The 19688-nt window shown below is 35.1% G+C and overlaps 1 protein-coding gene across 5 annotated transcripts in view, besides 1 other annotated feature; it reads left to right on the forward strand.

Annotated features, from left to right (window-relative positions):
• PRKG1 (protein kinase cGMP-dependent 1) overlaps positions 1-19688 on the forward strand; it is a 1307463-nt gene that overhangs the window by 842511 nt on the left and 445264 nt on the right. The window lies entirely within an intron of this gene.
• Positions 14472-14974: an enhancer, noted in NCBI's record as "NANOG hESC enhancer chr10:53607630-53608132 (GRCh37/hg19 assembly coordinates)". NCBI's record gives its function as "activates a minimal SCP1, AML or CMV promoter by ChIP-STARR-seq in naive H9 embryonic stem cells {active_cell/tissue: H9 hESC(naive)}" and the evidence as "EXISTENCE:reporter gene assay evidence [ECO:0000049][PMID:30033119]".

The raw sequence follows: 19688 nt of genomic DNA on the forward strand, positions 1-19688 counted from the left end.
TAGTTGTAAACTTCTAATTTTTCACAACAATGCTGATAGGTATGTATTATTCCAAATTTATAAATGATGCAACTGAGGCTCAGCAAAATTAAATCATTTCCAAGGTGACACATTTATAGGTAGTAGAGCTGCATGGAAACGTGAATCTTTATTTATTTTTATTTTTAATTGACAAATAATAATTGTATATGTTTATGTGGCACAATGTGATATTTTGATACATGTATACATTGTGGAATGACCAAATCAGGACAATTAGCCTATCCATCACCTCAAATATTTATCATTTATTTGTGGTGAGAACATTAAAAATTAACTCTTTTAGGTATTCTGTAACATATAATACATTATTATTAATTACAATCACCTTGCTTTGCCACAGAAGCCAGAACTGATTCCTCCTATCTAACTGAAACTTTTACTTGTTGACCAATGTCTGCCCTTTCTCTGTCTACCTTCTTTTCCTCCACTCCAGCCTCTGGTAAACACCATTCTACTCTATGCTTTTATGAAATTGGGTGTTTTAGATTTTACATATAAGTGAGATCATATGGTCTTTGTCTTTCCATGCCTAGCCTGTTTCACTTAATATAATGTCCTCTAGGTTCATTCAGGTCATCACAAATGACAGAATTTCCTGTTTTCTTTTTAGGGCTAAATAGTATTCCATTGTGTATAGGGCTAAATAGTATTCCATTGTGTATACAGACCACAGTTTTCCCCCTTGGATTACTTATTTTCTTGTACTTTAGTCAGACGCTTCCCCAAATGTGTTTCAATCTCCATAATGGCCTCTTTTCCAAAGAGCTGAAACTGTGCCCTGCCTCTTATCATCTTTATGATACCTCCTGCCCTCTAACATAAAATATTTTAAAAATAAATACTGAAACAAGAACTTAGATGAGTTTTGCAAAACAGAACTGTGTTCTAGGCCTAAATTTATTGAAAGTAAGGGAGGGGGGCAGGTGCCATGGCTCACACCTGTAATCCCAACAACTTTGGGAGGCCGAGGCAAGAGGATCTCTTGAGCCTAGGAGTTTGAGACCAGCCTGGGCAACACGGAGAAACCCCATCTCTACAATATATACAAAAATTAGCTGGATGTGGTGGTGCATGCCTGTAGTCCCAGCTACTTGGAAGGCTGAGGTGGGAGGATTGTTTGAGCCCCAGAGATTGAGGCTGCAGTGATTCATGAGTGTGACACTGTGATACTACACTCTAGCCTGGGTGACACAGTGACACCCTGTCAAAAAGAAAGAAAGAAGGAAAGAAAGAAAGACAGAAAGAAAGAAAGAAAGAGAGAGAGAGAAAGAGAAAGAGAAAGAAAAGAGAAAAGAAAAGAAAAAAGAAAAGAAAGGAAAAGAAAAGAAAAAAGAAAAGAAAAGAAAGTGAGGGTATGAAAGAGCAATGAGTCTATGGGGGTACGTCCACACCCAAGGTCATCACATTGCATGGGGCAAGTGAGATGGAAAAGGGTCACTGAGTCTTGGGGCCTCCAGAAACATCAGAAATTAATTGATTTATCAATTGGGAAAGTCTTAGAAAAATGTATAAAGACATATTGTCTGTACATAGGAGGCATTCACTTCCCCTCAATGTAGACTAAAAAAAGATGAAAGAAAGCCCATAAGCCCACATTAACCAAACGCACACACATGAGAAACTCCAAGTGTCCAGATTAACACCCTCAGATAGGCACTTGGTGTTTTCAGCTCTGGGGCTGGAGAGAAGATTATGGGGCTTTGGCTTACAGAGACAGAAGCTTCTGTCCCCAGAGAGGGGACAATAGCTTCCGAAGTCTCTGGCAAGTGATCTGGCAGGTGGTACTTGACAAGCTGGATGGGAAGGAAGTGCTGTTTTGAAGAAGATTCTCCCCTCCTTCCATTTCACCAAGACAGTGACTTGCAGAAAGTTTGTGTCCTATGCATTTCTTGAATATAGAGGACTGGCATTTCTAAAGAGCACATCTCTGAAGGGACAGATGCTGGCCATTTAAATGTGGGCTTTGCATGTTGTGAACTGACTGGTTCTGTGCAGTAGGACTAGGTCCAGTTTGCTATTAACAGTTGTATTTGCAGAGCCCAATACTCTCTCTGGCACTTAGTACGCACACAACAAATGTTTGCTGAATGGTTGAATAAAGTAATCCAGAATGAAAATATCATTTCCCCATGAACATAAATTATAACTTTTTTTCATTGGTTATCAATTATATCACATTTTAAAATCCTTTCTTCTGTTGACAGACACTTGTTTCCATATCTTGGTTATTGCGAATAATGCTGCAATGAACATGGGAGTGCAGACATACATCTATTTGTCATATGAATTTCAATTCCTTTGGATATATACCCATTAGTGGGATTGCTGGATCATATGGTAGTTCTATTTCAAATTTTTTGAGGAACCTCCATACTGTTTTCTATGATGGATATAGTAATTCACATTCCTGCCAACAGTATACAAGGGTTTTCTTCACATCCTCACTGATACTTGTTATGTTTCATGTTTTTAATAATAACAAATTTAACAGATGTGAGGTGACATCTCATTGCGGTTTTAATTTTCATTTCTCTGTGATTAGAGATGTTGAGCATTTTTTTTATGTAACTGTTGCCACTTGTATATTTTCTTTTAAGGAATGTCTATAAATACTCTCCTGAATAGCAAAAACAATCCTTATCAAAAAGAATTAATCTGGAAGCCTCACACTACAATATTTCAAAATATATTACAAAGCTACAGTAATCAAAATAGCATGGCACTGGCATCAAAGCAGACACATCAACCAATGGAATAGGATAGAAAACCCAGAAATAGATCCACACATCTATGGTCAGTTGATTTTTGACAAATGTGCCAAGAACACACAATAGGGAAAGGGCAGTCTCTTTAATAAATGGTATTGGGAAAACCATTAATAGATATCCAGTGTATGATTTGCAAGTATTTTCTCCAAATCCATGGATTTTCTCTTCACTTTATTGTTTTCTTGGCTGGCAGAAGGCTTTTTAGTTTGTTGCAATCCCATTTGTCTATATTTGCATTTGTTGCCCGTGTTTTGGGGTCATATCCAAGAAATCTCTACCCAAAGCAATGTCATGGAGCATTTCCCATATGTTTTCTTCAAATAGTATTCCAGTTTAAGGTTTTACGTTTAAGTCTATTGTTTATATTGAGTGTATTTTTGCATAAGGAGTGAGACAAAGGTCTATTTTCATTCTTTTGTATGTGGATAAGGGGTATACACTATCCAAAATATACATACACTATCCAAAATATACAAGGAACTCAAAATATCCACTAACCAAAAAACCCTCAAATAATCCTATTAAAAATAAACAGAAGATGTGAATAGATATTTATCAAAAGAAGAAAAACATAAGTCTTTAACTCAAATCTCATGACCCTTTTAATATATCATACTGCTGCTTATGCTACTGAACAATGACCCAGAGGGTTGTGTTGAAAGGGTGCACGGAGCATTTTAAAAAAATTGCTTTAGCATTGTTTTGCTTGTGAGATAGAGATAGTGTCACTAGTTGGAATGAATGCACAATTACAGGTATTTGATTCGTGGTCCCTGCATTCATTGAGTATACTTGGGAAATGACATGGATTTTTGAATTTAAAGGCTAGATGTTAAGCTACTGGAAAAGTATTGAGAAAATGCAATTCTTCTCACTCTTCTGCTATTGAGGCTTGGGGCCTAACTGCATTGAAAAGGAAGAAGTAAGTTGATTTTTCAGTTAACGTGATTGAACAGTTCAATTCAAATATAGAGATTGTCAAAGCACAGCCTACAGAAATTATTTGCTCCGAGGGTAGAACTTGCTTTGATATGGTAGTTAGTAAGTTTTATAAAGTTTTTTCTAAATAAAACATTTAGAGTAAAGTTCTCAAGTCTTTTGAATATGGCACTTAAAAAAATTAAATAGCATACTTTATTGGGCATTGAGAAATACAGTTTGGAATATGAGCAGAATTTTACTAGTTTCAGATACTTTATGTTCTGAAACTGTTTACCTTTCTGGTTTCATCTCTTGCTGTTTGCTACCACACATTTTTTTAAATTCCTGCCATAAACCTTATTTCCTCAAATGCATACAGATTTTTCCTCTCCTGTGTGGCTTTGCCCTGCTCTTCCTGTTGCCTACTAGAACTTTATTCCCTCTCCATTGGGGTAAGGCCCATTGATTCTTCATCTACTCTGGAAATCCTTCGTGGCTAGGGTAGGGGGCTCTCCTTCATGATCTCATAACCTACATGCATTTGTCTCTCCAGTAGCATTTACCACACTGTCCGGATGTTTGCTTTCTGCTTTTCCCACTAGGATGTAAATAGTTTGAAGGCAAAGACTGTATCTTTTGTCTCCATAACCCAATGCTTGGGCCCTAGTATACTCAGAGCAAATACTGATTAGATGGTTTAGGATACTAAGGTTTATTTGATTTGCCTAGTGATATATTTTCTCTTCTAATTCACCCAACTTTTTGCTTTTCTGCAAACTTTTAAATATTGGGCTATCATAGTAGAGAGAAAGTTGCTGCATCCATTGTTCGTCAAGGATGAGTCTCACTGCATCAGTGAGACTTTTGACACTTTAGTCCTGACTCTTATCTGGGAAAGTCTAAAGCCAATTTACTTAACTTGCAACTCTCTTTGTGATCCATATCAATACAATTCATTAAAAAATAGTAATAGTTTAAAACACTTATCAATAAAAAACAGATTTAAAAGTGATTTACATACAGCTAATAATTAGGCATTTTTAGGAAAATATTTAAAATATAACATTCAAGGGTGTATAGCTAAGTTTTAATAATATATGTGCTCATGTATAGTGATCTAAAGATTTTCTCTGGTTTTCAATCCAAGAGTTATTTGTGGTTGTTTTGTTTTTGTTTTGTTTTATCTAGAGCCACTCAATGTAGCTAAATAGATCCAGTTATATATGTTCTTTCACATTTGTGCTAATAAGCGAAAACAACATTTAAAAGCCATAGAGAAAAGGGCAGAAAATCTAAACATGAATAATGAAGCCCTATAAAACCTCTGGGCAGTTTTAGCAGAGTTTCCGAAAGGAAGTGTCCTCTGGGACTCAATCAAATCTCCTGTACTTATTTTTAAAGGGAGCTTCCTTTTTTAAGTCAAAGATAGAAATAGTTTTACTTGGAAAGTGTCCTGCAGGTGTAAATTAGCAGACTAACTCCCTGGGGCTGAAATGTCTTCCTTATCTTCTTTGTTCTTTTTGTCTTTAGTAATGAAAGCAGAGATTGTTTTGGGAATCCTTTTTTTCTGCCTAAATTCTTGGAAAGCTTAAGTTTGAAAGCTAGTAGGTCTAGGAATTTTCTAGGCTAATGAGAAAAAAAAAATCACGCTACCCCTAGGGCTATTGTTAGCCTAATGGGAAGTGATGGGAAATAAAAACAACCAAGTTCGTTCTGAGGCAAATAAATTTGTTAAGTGCTGAGATAGACCAATTTTTCCAGCCAAAACTGGGACTTATTACTGTATAATGGCCCATAAATTTAGCTGTATAATGGCTGTATAATGGCACATACATTTTAAGTTTAATATTTTGAAGGCAGATTCAAGAAACTGACTGTAATAAGAGCATTCTGGTCACATTGATACAGCCTGCCAGAGTGTAAATAGGCTCTGCAGCAGAAATGTGTCAGAAATGTAGAAACTGACATTTCAGGACTGCCCCCTTAGACCATTACCATAAGGAAGAGCTACTTTATTATTATTTTTTTAACAGTTGGTTGAGCAGAGGTTTTCAGAATTAAAATGATTTTGAAATAAAGATGAAATGTGCATGGTTATTTTATTAAGTGCATATTTGTTACTGACCTCCCAGCTCATTTCTGCACTCAGTTTCCTGTTGCTGTACTTTTCAGAGTTTCATATTCAAAGTGACAGTGGGAACATTTAGCGTAGAAGCCAACAAATAAATATGTCTTCTACTTCCCCCATGCCCACCCCACCTCTACCATGTTGAGTTGGAAACATTTAATTCAGTGATTTGCACAGGGGACAATTTCAAAGCTTGTATTTAGAATAAGAAAGTGGCTGAAAAGGAAATGTTATGCTCAATAGAAAATTATGACTCACTGATTTTGCATATGGGTAATATTTTTGAAAGACCACTTATCTTTTGGGAAGTGTGTGAAACTGACAGGAATTATATTGAAAACCAGCCAGATAGCCATGATAAGCAGGAACCTGACTTTGTTTTGGATATGCAGGGTTCTCGATAATCGTAGTGGTTTACTAACCAATATTCTACAGGGAAGAATTATTCTTTACCTTATGGCAGAAGCATGCCTTCCTATGGAGGTCGTTCTTTAGGTGAAGTAACAGGAACCATCTACTATAACTTCTCACTGACCCAGTCCCATGAGGGCTGCCCCAAGGTAGGTGAGGAATTGCTCCCCAGTATTAGTTACCCATTTGAATACAATTCATTTCTACCAACAGCAGTTTTCTCCTATTTTTCCTAGAGCATGCAATATCTAAGTTTAGTTTTTAATTCTTGAGGATGCCATTTTAACTAATGGAGTTCAGTAAGTGACAGCCCTGTTTTCCTCCCAGGCATTTCAAATCTAGTTTTAATTTAGATCAGCAGTTCAGGAGCAAATTATTTGCCAAATGCAGGTGGCAGACCGTTGCCTTTCTCCCTAATGTCCATCTGTGGAGCACTTTGAGACTTTTCTAAAATGATGAATTGATATGTCTGTTGGGAAACAGCTTGTTACCCAGAACAGTGGTGTACATAAATGAGAAGCCTGCACACTGCAACAGAGACCACAGGTGGTATTCATAATAAGGCATCTGTGGATGATGTTAAGGATTTTTGAAGCTATTTGATTTTTTTTTTCTCTTTTCAACTAAGGGTTTTCTTGCTTAGCTAACATTTCATTTTTTAAAAGATTTGTTGTGTTCTTAGAGGTAATGCCTTTACAATTTAAATATGTCCAAGAATCCTTTTTATTCTGATACTTTTTACAGTCACGAATAGGCTTAACAACTGATATGGATCATGCAGGTTCTCAGGAGACTCAGAATACAACTTTTGTTTTGTAATGCCACCTATGTCTTTATTGAACCCTCTATTTTATTTATTTATTTATTTATTTATTTATTTATTTATTTATTTATTGAGACAAAGTCTCCCTTTTGTCACCTAGGCTGGAGTGCAGTGGCGCGACCTCAGCTCACTGGAACCTCTGCCTCCTAGGTTCAAGCAATTCTTCTGCCTCAGTCTCCCAAGTAGTTGGGATTACAGGTGTGCACCGCCATGCCTGGCTAATTTTTTATTCTTAGCAGAGACGGGGTTTTGCCATGTTGGCCAGGCTGGTCTCGGACTCCAGCCCTCAGGTGACCTGCCCGCCTTGGCCTCCCAAAGTGCTGGGATTACAGGTATGACCCACAACACCCGTCCCTGAACCCTCTATTTTAAAGAGAAACAAATACAATGAAGAGTCTATAACACTTATAAAAAACAAACACTAAATTTCAGTCAATAAGCAGAATAATTAAAATATAGGGTTTTATTTTTATGGAATACAGGTTATGAATCCCAGGATTTCAGAGTTGGAGGCATCTGAATCAGATCACCAATAGATGAATGATTTCGTTTTCTTGTCATATAGCCATTTTGTACCTACTTAAATTCTTCCAGTGATAGAAAACTTATCTCTTCTAAAATAAGCTCATTACATTTTTAAAATGCCTCCTGGCCTCTTTGTAACTTTATCTCCAGTAAGTCAATCTCTCTCTCTCTGTCTCAATCTCTCTCTCACTTAAGAGTGATTCCTGTGTGATTTAGTTTATTCATTCATCATTTATTGAACATGGACTCTGTGCTGGGCACTGAACCAGGTTTCAGGACTTCATGGATGAAGAAGACATGGTCTATTTTTTCAAACAGTTCATAGTCAAATGGGAGCAACAAAAAAGGAGAAACGAAAAATTATAGTACAGTGTGATAAATGCCTTGTTAGGACTAAGCATGAAGTGATACAAGAACATATTAAGAAAGCACATAGCCTGGACTTGTGGAATATGGGTAGGCTTTCAGGAGGAGGTGAAATTTCAGGTCAGTCTTGAGGAATGAACAATGAACTAGAAATATTAAAAATGCATAAGATTTTTAAAGAGAGATTTTTAGAAATTCTGTTTTCTTGTGCAGTTGAATTTTCTAATTTATTCAGAAATGTCATGAATTCATGCTGTGACTGAATTTGTTAAAAAAAAAAGACCAAAATATGGTTTTTATGTGTTTTTTTTCATTTTTGATACAGAGTCTCGCTCTGTCACCCAGACTGGAGTGCAGTGGCGCGATTTCAGCTCCCTGCCACCTCTGCCTCCCAGGTTCAAGCGATTCTCCTGCCTCGGCCTCCTGAGTAGCTGGGATTATAGATGTGCACCTCCAGGCCTGGCTAATTTTTGTATTTTTAGTCAAGATGGGGTTTTACCACGCTGGCCAGGCTGATCTCTAACTCCTGACCTCAAGTGATCTGCCCGCCTCAGCCTCCCAAAGTGTTGGAATTATAGGCATGGGCCATCGTGTCTGGCTGGCTTTCATATTTTGCAATGAAGTATAGAGTCTTGGATTTCAAGGCAGATACTTCTAGAGGCTTTGAAACTGTCCAGATTCTCAGCTAACACAGATGGGATGTTGGTCAGTTGGATTCCCTCGCTGGCTAAGTGGGTCTGACTTGACTGTCTGATTCATACTTGTCCTATGGGCTTTGAATGTGGTATTTTATTTGATCCTCATAGGAGTGCTTTGGGGTAGGCACTACAGTCAGCATTGCATATCATTATTCTGGGATCACCAGTTACAAATAAGTGAAAACTGTCAATCTGGGATTGCTAAGGTAAAACAGTATGATACTAATTGTATGAAGGTAATACTCTCAGCTGATGACTGAGTGTTATGAGGACACATTCTCTGAGATATCATCCAACTTGCATGTAGCTTAAACTAATGGAAGCAGACCATTTGTTACACTACACGATGACTGAATGGTGGCAAAGAAGACCCTCCTATTCAGGCTTTCAGCTACTTTTTTCCTTCTGATCCTTATGTGTGGTTCCTGTGGTCTTGGTCAGTATCAGCAAACATGTTTAGTGACAATGTGTTACCTGTTACTTCTCTATGCTATAAGAAACAAAGGACCATGCTTTTCATGTGAGTGGAATTTAGCACTCATTTTGATATTGCCACTAGAATTTTATGTTAGATAACAAAATTATGTGTGTATGTATGTGCATACTATATGTGTATATGTATATTCATATATATGAAGCCCTTTAAAGTGTTCATTTGCTTTTCTCAATCTGTATCTATTTATCTAACTAGTGTATGTCATATAGTATATATTATGCAATATTATAAAAGAAATTATGCCTGTCAATTATAAGAAATTATATATTTGTAAGAAATTTTGCCTGCAATTAAAAATATTTCTTACCTAGTGTTATATTTAATGCTTACTCTAAGAAATGTGAAACAATTTTCTATTTTCATAAAAAAATAGAATATGAACAGAACTTTGTTTAAAGCTTTGGCACATTTTGAGGTCAGATGGTCATTATGAATATAGTACAGATCATCACTAAATAACCTATAGATGTAAATTTTTCACTAAATTTATTTTTATTTAAATTTAGGAAAATTATTCTTTTTTTTTTTTTTTTTTTTTTTGAGACGGAGTCTTCTGTTTCACCAGGGTGGAGTGCAGTGACGCAATCTTGGCTCACTGCAACCTCCACCTCCTGGGTTCAAGTGAGAAAATTATTCATTTTTAATGTAAAGTGGAATATTAGTGTTATAAGAATAATTTGTTTTATATATTAGAAACATTTATTTGATGTGCTTTTCTTTCTCAGAGAAAACAAAGAAAGTTCATGTGATCAACACAAGTGTGTCAAGATGGTCACCTCATTTGCGTTGGGGTATACCAAGTCAGGCAGTAGCAATTTTGTTGCCTTAGTGACCATTTAGAATCTAGTTTAATAGCCTATGTAGGCAGCTTAATATAGAAGGCTTGTTTTCAACATTATGTCCTCAAGCCAGTCTTGTGACTGATTGAAATAAATTTTTGGAGGAAAAAGGCAGGTCAAGTCTTAAAGAACAGCAACCACGTTCTTCGTTTAGCGTTCAGCTTTAATGTCACCTGTTTCTCTGCCACACTGAAGTAACAGCTATGCTCACTGCTGCACAGGCATAGAAGAGCATGGTATTGCCTGGCTTTCAACAGGGAATTCCAACTCTAATTCTTCATGCCACCATCATCTCTTAACTTGTGATCCTACTTGGATTTTTATGTATACTGAATTATTTCCTTTTACAGAGAAATATTAAATTTGAAACAAAATTATAGTGTATTTGCTAAATAGGTCCATGGAAGTCCCATACCCCCACACACACATTTTAGTTTCTGCCTTTTTTATTGTTCCACTTAAAACGAGCTTCTTTTTCCATTTGAGAGAAGTGACTGAGTCAAGAAAAGAAGGCATGAATAAAGAATTCAGGGAAGAAAATGATGTCTTCATGTTCAATTATTATCAGGAGTATACATAGTACTATATTCATAGAATTTGCTTGTGGCAAGCAAATAGATCTAAGTGAGTTTTTTCCTTATTATTCTCAGAAATGAGTTTTTCTTGTTGTCTAGTGTTTTTTATTTTTATTTTTGTCAATGCATCATTTGACAGAGGGGAAGAAGAATGAAAAGAATGACATATTTTCAAGATTTTCTGTCAATGCTGATGGCAATCATGAGCCATAATTCTAATGATAGGTTTCTGAGGAGTGAATAAGAGACTATTAAACGTACTTGATGACTTTAAGGTAACTTCTAATTACAGAAATGTCAAAATGTGAATAACGTGTTCATCTTACAAGTGAAAAAATATGGAAATTAAGAATAAAAATTATACTAGTAAGAGGGTTGAAAGATTAAGAGGAGAATGAAAATATAATTCATAGAACAGTTGCTATTATTATAATTTTGACCTAATGATAAAATTTGTGGTTTTAAAAGTGTCTCACAGACCTTATTTGCCTATTACTAACTTTAATAGATTATACTTATAGTGGTAATTAGGTTAATTAATTTTAAATCACATTGGTTATTGCCTCTAGGACAAAATGGGTGTTTAAACCTTAAGTTTGTATAAAAAATGATTTGACACTGAAATCAATCTACTTTTATTAGCTTCTGGCAGCAAGAATAGATGTGGTTTACTAACAGCAATAATGAAAGAGCATCAAACTTTGATAAAAATTCTGAAGGAATGTCAGGGGCTTAAAACTGGGCAGGTCAATAAATAGCCAAAAAGTTAAATTCAAGATCAAGACTACACTGGGAGACAGAGGGAGGTGATGTTGTATCAAAGACAAGAACAGGAATTCACACAGTCCGACAAAAATGAAGTATGCTGAGAAAGTTGCCTTGCCAGTGGATTATTGGTCCACAGTAAAATATCTGACAGTGCTTTTTGAGGACTCCAAATTCTTTTGATGAGACTGGGTTAAATTTCAGTTATATCATTGTATTTTATTTTATTGATTATTCTGTTTTTATCTGATTCTTCTGTGTTAATGTAGATGTGAAAAAATTTCTAAATTGGCTTTATGTAGAAATGTAAATGTCTGGTTGGCCAGCTACCTCACCTGACCTCAAAATATCCTTGAGGGCTCTCAGTATATCCTTTTTGTGGGTACATTCCTCATTCAAGTCTGGCAAAGGACTGCTTTCCCCAAGATAACGTATGCTTTCCAACTTTCATATTTTTTTATGTTCTGCATGTCTGGGATGGCCTTTCCCTCTTCTTGCTGTCTTTCCAGATTTTATCTTTCCAGATGTTATCCTCCTCCAAGACTTTCCTTAAGCACCACCTCTTGTGTAATGCCTTTCCCGATTACTCTATTGAAAAGTCTCTAAGGAATTAATTATCAATATTATATTTTGTGCTTCAAAGTGTTGACATTCTTCATTAAAAGCAACACCACCAACAACTGTCAATTTGAATCTTGACTTTACCACTTCTTAGTTTCCATAGGTTTTAGAAAGTCCTTAACCCATGGTTTTCTCATATGTAAAATGTGGACATTAAATTGATAGCCTTGTAGAAAATTGGTATGAAGATGAAATAAACTTGGCATACAAATAAGTACCAAAAATAAGAAATTTTATTATCACCAATATGGCACTTAACATCTCCAGACTTTTTTTATGTGTTAAAACTACAGCATTGTCATCTTATGGACATGTTATGTGGTTTACGGTATAATCTCCCTTCTTATAATAAGATTAATTCTCTACCACATGTGTAAACTAGCTTTTTTTGGCAAAGGGTTGTCATACTTGCTAATTTTAGTTTTATACTACCTTCAATATACATAATACTTTATAGTTGATGAACTATTCCTCAGTGTTACATGTTTGAGGTCCCCACATTGTCCTTTACTGAAAGTTATTTACATATATTAATTGAATGATACAGTTCTGTCTGATTGAGTGTTTCTTAGAAAAGCTTTTAAAAGTGTGGATTTACTATTGTTTTTCACCTTTATGTCTTATTACTGCAAATGCAAAGTCATATACCCTTAATTTTGAACAACATATAAGAACCAGCTCCCCCAAAATGGGCAGCCAAATGCCCCCACATCTACCCAAACAGATGTTTAGATGTTAAAGATGTCTAGGAATAAATTCTGCCTGGGATTATTGCTAATAAAGTTCATAGAAACAACCATACCTTCTCATGTAGGTTGTGGTTCTCCATCCCTTCGTAGACCAAAACCTTTACCTGATGAGCAAAATAGAAAACTGTTGTTTTGCTTCTGTTTTTGCTCTACTGATGAAGAACTAACAAACAGTAAAACAACCAAAGAAAGGAAAACTAATAATTTGAACCAATCCTTGATTATATGTTTAACTCTGGTGGAGTTTCATGATATAAATTGATGTTAACATAACCTCATAACTCAACTGCTATATTGATCATGACCTTCGCCATCATCAAAGAAATAAAAGAAAATGGTAATAGGACAGTGGCAGAGGTTCTACTAAATCTATAATGCAACCATTTGTTTACCTTAACTCCAGTCCTTCAAAAGGATCAGAGGCTTCTAATTGCCTTTTTCTGCCACTATATTAATATGTATAGACAGTGTATTGATCTTCTTTCTGTATTCATTGGTATTCAAGGAACATGATAGCTTGTTCTGAATACCTATGAATGTTAGAAAATGTCAATGCCGGTGCCCACTCTCAGCAGAGATATCCATTCACTTTTGCTGGGATTTAATTCTGTTGCCTCTTAATTGCTTGAAGATGTTTTGAGGATACAAGTTTAAACTGAATCATTTTTTTTCAGCAGGTTAATTGGACAACAGTATTCACTTTGTAAGTGAATGGATTTGATCCTCGAATGGGAATATCTATCTTGAAATTGGGTTATAAATTAATTTGCAATAATATTATTTCAGATAGCATAAAAATATATACATCAAGTGCTGCTAAAATCAGTGATATGAATTCTGAGTTCAGAGAGCATCTTTAAAAAAATAAAGTAGATCAAGTAGGAGGCTGGATGGGGAAGGTAGGTGAGACAGTCATGAGAGCTTTATTCTAATAGCAGCTCAGCTGCTCACTGTCATTTAATGGCATCACATTCCTTGGCCTCCCTGAATCTCAGGTTTTAATATTTAAAATGAAGGCAGGTGCTGATGATCTATGATGCTACTCCTAACTCTAACATTTTGTGTTTCTAATTTCCAAAAGAATTTAGTCAATATAGAAATACTTTGTTACAATTTACCTGCCATTATGAACTAAACAATGCTACTTGTCACTCAAAACCACAAATGCAAAACGAGTGATGATTGAAACTGAAAGCAAATATGCGTATAATCTCTCAAAAAATAATAAGTTTTCTTGTTACAGAATAAGGGAGTGATTGGCAGGGAAGCTGATTATTATAAGCCTATTTCATGATTTTTGAAGTAGAAAATGAACCTTTTTTTATATCTAAATGTGATGACTTACTAAAATCTAAAATGAGAAAACCAATATATGTAATTACTCATTGCAAATGATTCTCCAGATGATTTAAATAAAATTTTATTATATATAAAGCATATTAATTAATTAATGATCTATTGACAGCATTTAACAATGATTTTTTTTTTCTGTAGATTGGCTAAATTTAGTGATTCTAATTCTGTAATTTAACATCATAATGACAGTTTTTTTCTCCTCTCTCACCATACACATGGAAACAGTGAGTTAAAAGACTAAACTCTAAGTTGAGTGTGGTAGTGCATGCCTGTAGTCCCAGTGGCCAGGGAGGCTGAGGTGCTTGAACCCAGGAGTTTGAGGCCAGCCTGGGCAACATAGAGAGACTCAAGACTCTGTTAAAAAAAAAAAAAAAAAAAAAAAAAAAAAAAAAAAAAGACCGAGAATCTGAACTCTATTCTCTTGTCTAAAGCACTTTTTTTCAAGTTGTACATATACATTAAATATACTGTTCTATGCATGACGTTTCATGGTTTTTAAAAGTATTTACTACTTGCCTACCTCTGCGTCCCTCTAAATTTCCTTAGGCTTTCAGCAGTGTTGCTTTGGCAAGTGATAACCGGGGACCAAATGCTAGGAAACTCCCTAACATAACAATAGGAAGCATTCCAAAATACAGCCCAGCAAACAGTGGATACACCACATGCCTCCTGCTAGATTTCAAAGATGTATGTGTTAATTACAACAGGTATTGCAAGTTGGATATTTTTATTCTTTTTTGCTAAATCCCCTGATTAGTGAGACTCAAATTGAAATTAAGATATATATGAATTTGGGGTTGGTATAAACATATTTTTAGATGTAACATGGAGAAAAAAATAACTAGTGAAATAAAAACAAACTCCACCTCCAAACCTTAGTTTCAAAAGCAGCCTATTTTATGGTTCCCGCACCCGTCTTTTTTGTTTCTTTTCAATATCATGATTAAAGAGAAGTAAATAAATGAACACTAACACTTGGACAGTTTTCTTATAAGCTTGTTCATATGTTGACATATAGCATTTCAGTCTTTACTGGTTCTCAGATGCCATCTAAACTTCTGTAAAATATGTTTTCATATGAATGTAGAATTATTTCCTAGAGACAGAAGATCATCAGGGAGTAGAGTTCCATTAATTCTGTGTGTCTGTATCTGTGTGTGTGTGTGTGTGTGTGTGTGTGTGTGTGTTTTATATTTTTATAATTTAGTAGAAATAAGATCTCACGATATTGCCCAGGCTGGTCTTGAACTTGTGGCCTCAAGTGATCTTCCTGACTCAGTCTTTCAAAGTGCTGGGATTACAGGTACAAGCCACTTCTCAGCCTATGTGTGCATTTTCCTTAAGCAAAGAGTCTATGGTTTGCGTTTCTATTTTTTTTTTTTTTTTAACACTTTCTGTTTCTCTGATTTCACCTTGTTCTGGTTCTCTCTATTCCAGTAAGACTACCAGTTCTTAAATGTTGATGTCATGATATCATTTTATTGCTAGAAACCTTGCAATATATTTAAACTACAAAATCATAGTTTAGGTCCTGTATTTTGTAGTATTTATAGCACTAAGCAACTTTGTCCTCAAACTAGCTAATGCTTCTTTTTATTTCTAAAAATATCTATTTTCTGCTTTATCCAATTATGTCTACTTAATGCTCTTTGCCTTCTAATCCTACCAAAACCCATTCCATATATCATCTTCCCATTCTTTAACCCACCTCTGCTTTTATTCTATTTAGTTAGTACATAGGGAAAAGAACATCGTTCTTGGAGCCAAACAGGCATGAGTTTGAATTTTATTTCTGCCACACAGTAAAGAAAATAATCTGGGGGGTTACCTAACCATTTGAAAAAGCCTTAGAATGGTCAGCCATAAAACGAGTATTAAGTGATTAAACGAATATCAAGGTACTCAATGAATATGGATTTTTCCTCCTCCTTTCTGCACATTTTTTATTTCTGGTCTTATCTTGATTCGCTGCAAAGTTATGTTTCCTTATCTCTCTCTGGATATGATTCTTACCTGATTACTCAGATTTGTTTTCCTTGAATCCATTTGCACTTTTTTTCTGGAGTTATCCAGAGATCTCTTCTATCCAATGGCCTATTAATTTTACACCAAAGTCCCTTTCCAGCCTTGTTTTGCACTCTACCTCAATGCAACCATCTTTTTCTCCAAACAATTGAATTTAATAATCACCAAATTCTCTTCTTACCTGATATTTCATGATTATTGTCATACTTTTAAAATTCTTCAGATTTATATTTAAATGAAATAATAATATTATCACTTATTTTATATACAAATATTCCTTTAGAAACCTAACTTTCAAACTTATCACATTCAAACAGGGGCAGACTCAGGTTTGATGGGGCCTTAAGCATACAGAATTTTAGTAGTTTTTTTAAAAAAGATCAAGGACACAAACTAGAAAGTCCAGACATAGCTCCATCAGTGGAATCAAGGTAGATGTTTTAATAAAATGAGTTAGAAAAACAGTCTAGTCATTTGGAAAGAGAAAAAGTTGAACAATACCTCACAGTGTACGCCAGAATGAATTTCAAATAGATAAGGATTTGAAAGTGTAAGAATGAAATAAAAATTAATAGAAGAAAACATTGTTCACTTGTTTTATAATCTTGAAGCCAAGAAGATCTTTCTACTTGTACCCCAAAGTTTATTGGCATAAATTTGACCACTTTCCAATATATATATTTTTTTGAGATGAAGTTTTGCTCTTGTCACCCAGGTGGGAGTGCAATAGCACGATCTCAGCTCACTGCAAACTCTGCATCCCGGGTTCAAGCGATTCTCCTGCCTCAGCCTCCCAAGTAGCTGGGATTACGGGCACCCACCATCACACCCAGCTAATTTTTGTATTTTTAGTAGAGATGGGGTTTCACCATATTGGCCAGGTTGGTCGCAAATTCCTGACCTCAGATGATCCACCTGCCTTGGCCTCCCAAAATGCTGGTATTACAGGCATAAGCCACAGTGTCCAGCCCATGTTGCAATTTTATATATATATATATGTATATGTATATGTATATATTTGCATAGAAAAAGGATACCATCAGCAAAACCAGAAGGCCAATAATAAACTGAGGGAAAACATTTGCATTACATATCATAAAGAGCAATCTCCTTAATATGTAAAGAGTTTCTTGAAATAAAGAAAACATACCTACAGCCTAACAGAAAAATGGGCAAAGGTCATGAACCAACAGAAAGCAGATAGTTTTTAAACGTATAAAAGATAAATAACCTCATTCATGATAAGAAAAATGCAAATTTAACACTATAGTGTTACACTATTTCTCACCTTTTAGATTGGTAAACATTCCAACTATGACAACATACTCTTTGACAATGTTGAGAGGAAACAGGTATTCTCATGCGTTTTAGATGTAAGTAAAAATGAAAAAAAGACTCTACTGGAGGGGAATCTGATAAGATCCCAAATGCTTTATAGGTATCTTTACCTTTGATCTAGCAATCCTACTTCTGACAATTTATCCTAAAGATATGGTCATGCCCCTACAAAATGACAAACGTGCTGGGATGTTTATTTCAGTATTTCAGTGCTTTTGGGACAACCCAGAAATACATCATTAGGAGATTAAATAAATTATGGAATACTATGCAGCTGTTAATAGATAATCAGGAAAAGGTAGCAAAAGGTAATATGCTACCTTTTGAATAAGAGGAGAAATTAACAGCATGTATTCATCCTTATTTGCTTAAATTTGCATAAAAAAGGACTGGAAAGATAAATAGTAAAAATAGTTACCTTTATTTAGGTCAGAGATTCTCAACTGGGAGACATTTAGCAATGTCTTGAGATATTTTTCGTTATTACAAGTGGAGTTTGTGGGTGGGGTTGTTGCTACTGGCTTCTAGTGGATATAGACTCATTGTGCTAGTAAGCATCCTTAAATGCACAGGACAACCTCACACACCCCACAAAAAAGAATCATCCAGCCAAAACCATCAACAGTGTTGAGACTGACAAACGCTTCCCTATGGGGAAGTAGGGCAATAAGGCCTATGGAGGTGATGGGCCAGGGTCAAGACTTCTCTGTGTATATACTTTTTACATTATTTCTTTGATTCATTTAAATGTATTACCTATTCCAAAATTAATTTTAAAGAACTATTAAAATGTCAAGATTTAGAACAGCAGTTTTTCTTCATTCTCGCTATAAATTTTAGTAAGAATGAATAGCAGGTATGCTTAAAATGCTTTGACATTTTTCTCTAATGCAATGCTCTTCTGGATATGAAGGAACTCAGTTGAGATGCTGATAATGTTCTGGACACTCACGTACATTTTGCTACACAGATACCAAGGTTGGCGAATAAATTAAAAGCTAGTCCATTAGATTAGTAGGACCTGCCATGAGTGCTGTCGTGGGAAGGATTCTGCAGGCTTTTGTGGCCTTAGCAGTAAAGACTGCCATGATAAATTAGTGATGCTCGCCATGGTCAAGGGATGGAAAGACATAGACACATGTTTCAGGCACCTGCCATCTTTGATTTATGCAACCATATCGGCAGGCTCTTTATTATTTTAACATGTTGGAGAAAAAAACAATGTTTAGGCAAATCTAAGTTATATAGATAAAACTTAGACTTATATATATATTTACATATGATATATATATAAGTTTAGGCAAATCTAAGTTATATATAACATATATGTTATATATATAAGTTTAGGCAAACCTAAGTTTTATATGTGTATATATATATATATACACACACACACACGTCATATATAAAGTATATATATGTAATAACTTAGATTTGCCTAATACTGTTTTTTCTCCAACAGGTTGTGTGTGTGTGTATATATATACATATACACACACACACATACATAGATATACACACACACACACATAGAGAGAGAGAGAGAGAGAGGAAACAGAGGTAGAGGTGAATAACAGAATGCTGTTGCAGCTGCAGGTCCTGTATTGCTAACATATAACCAAGCAATTGAGCTCTAAAACATAGCAGCTCCATGTGGTAGCTGGTGACATGTACATCTTAGAGATGAAAGAACTGGAGTTCACATAGTTGGTGAGTACCTGAGCCAAAAGTGAAACTCCAGTCTGTCTGATCCAAAGCCTGTCCTTGTTATTATTCCTTGTAGTTCAACCTATACACATGAGCATATATAAGAATACTGCATATATACCATATAAATTAAAAATCCACCAGTTTTCTAAATTCTGAGGGAATTAAGAACAAATACTTTGATCCATGAGTTTCATCAGATAACTTCTTGTCATCTGGCACCACAAAATTATGTATTTCAGATGTTTGTGAACTTGAGTAACTTTGCTTTTATATGTCCCTAGATATTTTAATTTAAATGCATTTAAGCATAAAAAGAGAAGTGTTTTTTCTAGATGAGTTTTTATAAAATAGTTTACGATTTTATCAGTTCCTTCAAGACTGGCATATTATTTTTAAACTGTTAAGTATTTTGAAGCCTAAGGAAAATATATAATCTAGACTTCCCTCCCTCCATTAAACTCCCTCAAACTGGTGTACACATATACAAAACATGGTGATATATTTATGTTTTATAGATGATTGAAGAAAGTAA

The sequence above is a fragment of the Homo sapiens genome, chromosome 10 (genome assembly GCF_000001405.40).
Source record: "Homo sapiens chromosome 10, GRCh38.p14 Primary Assembly".
In the NCBI taxonomy this organism is placed as follows: Eukaryota; Metazoa; Chordata; class Mammalia; order Primates; family Hominidae; genus Homo; species Homo sapiens.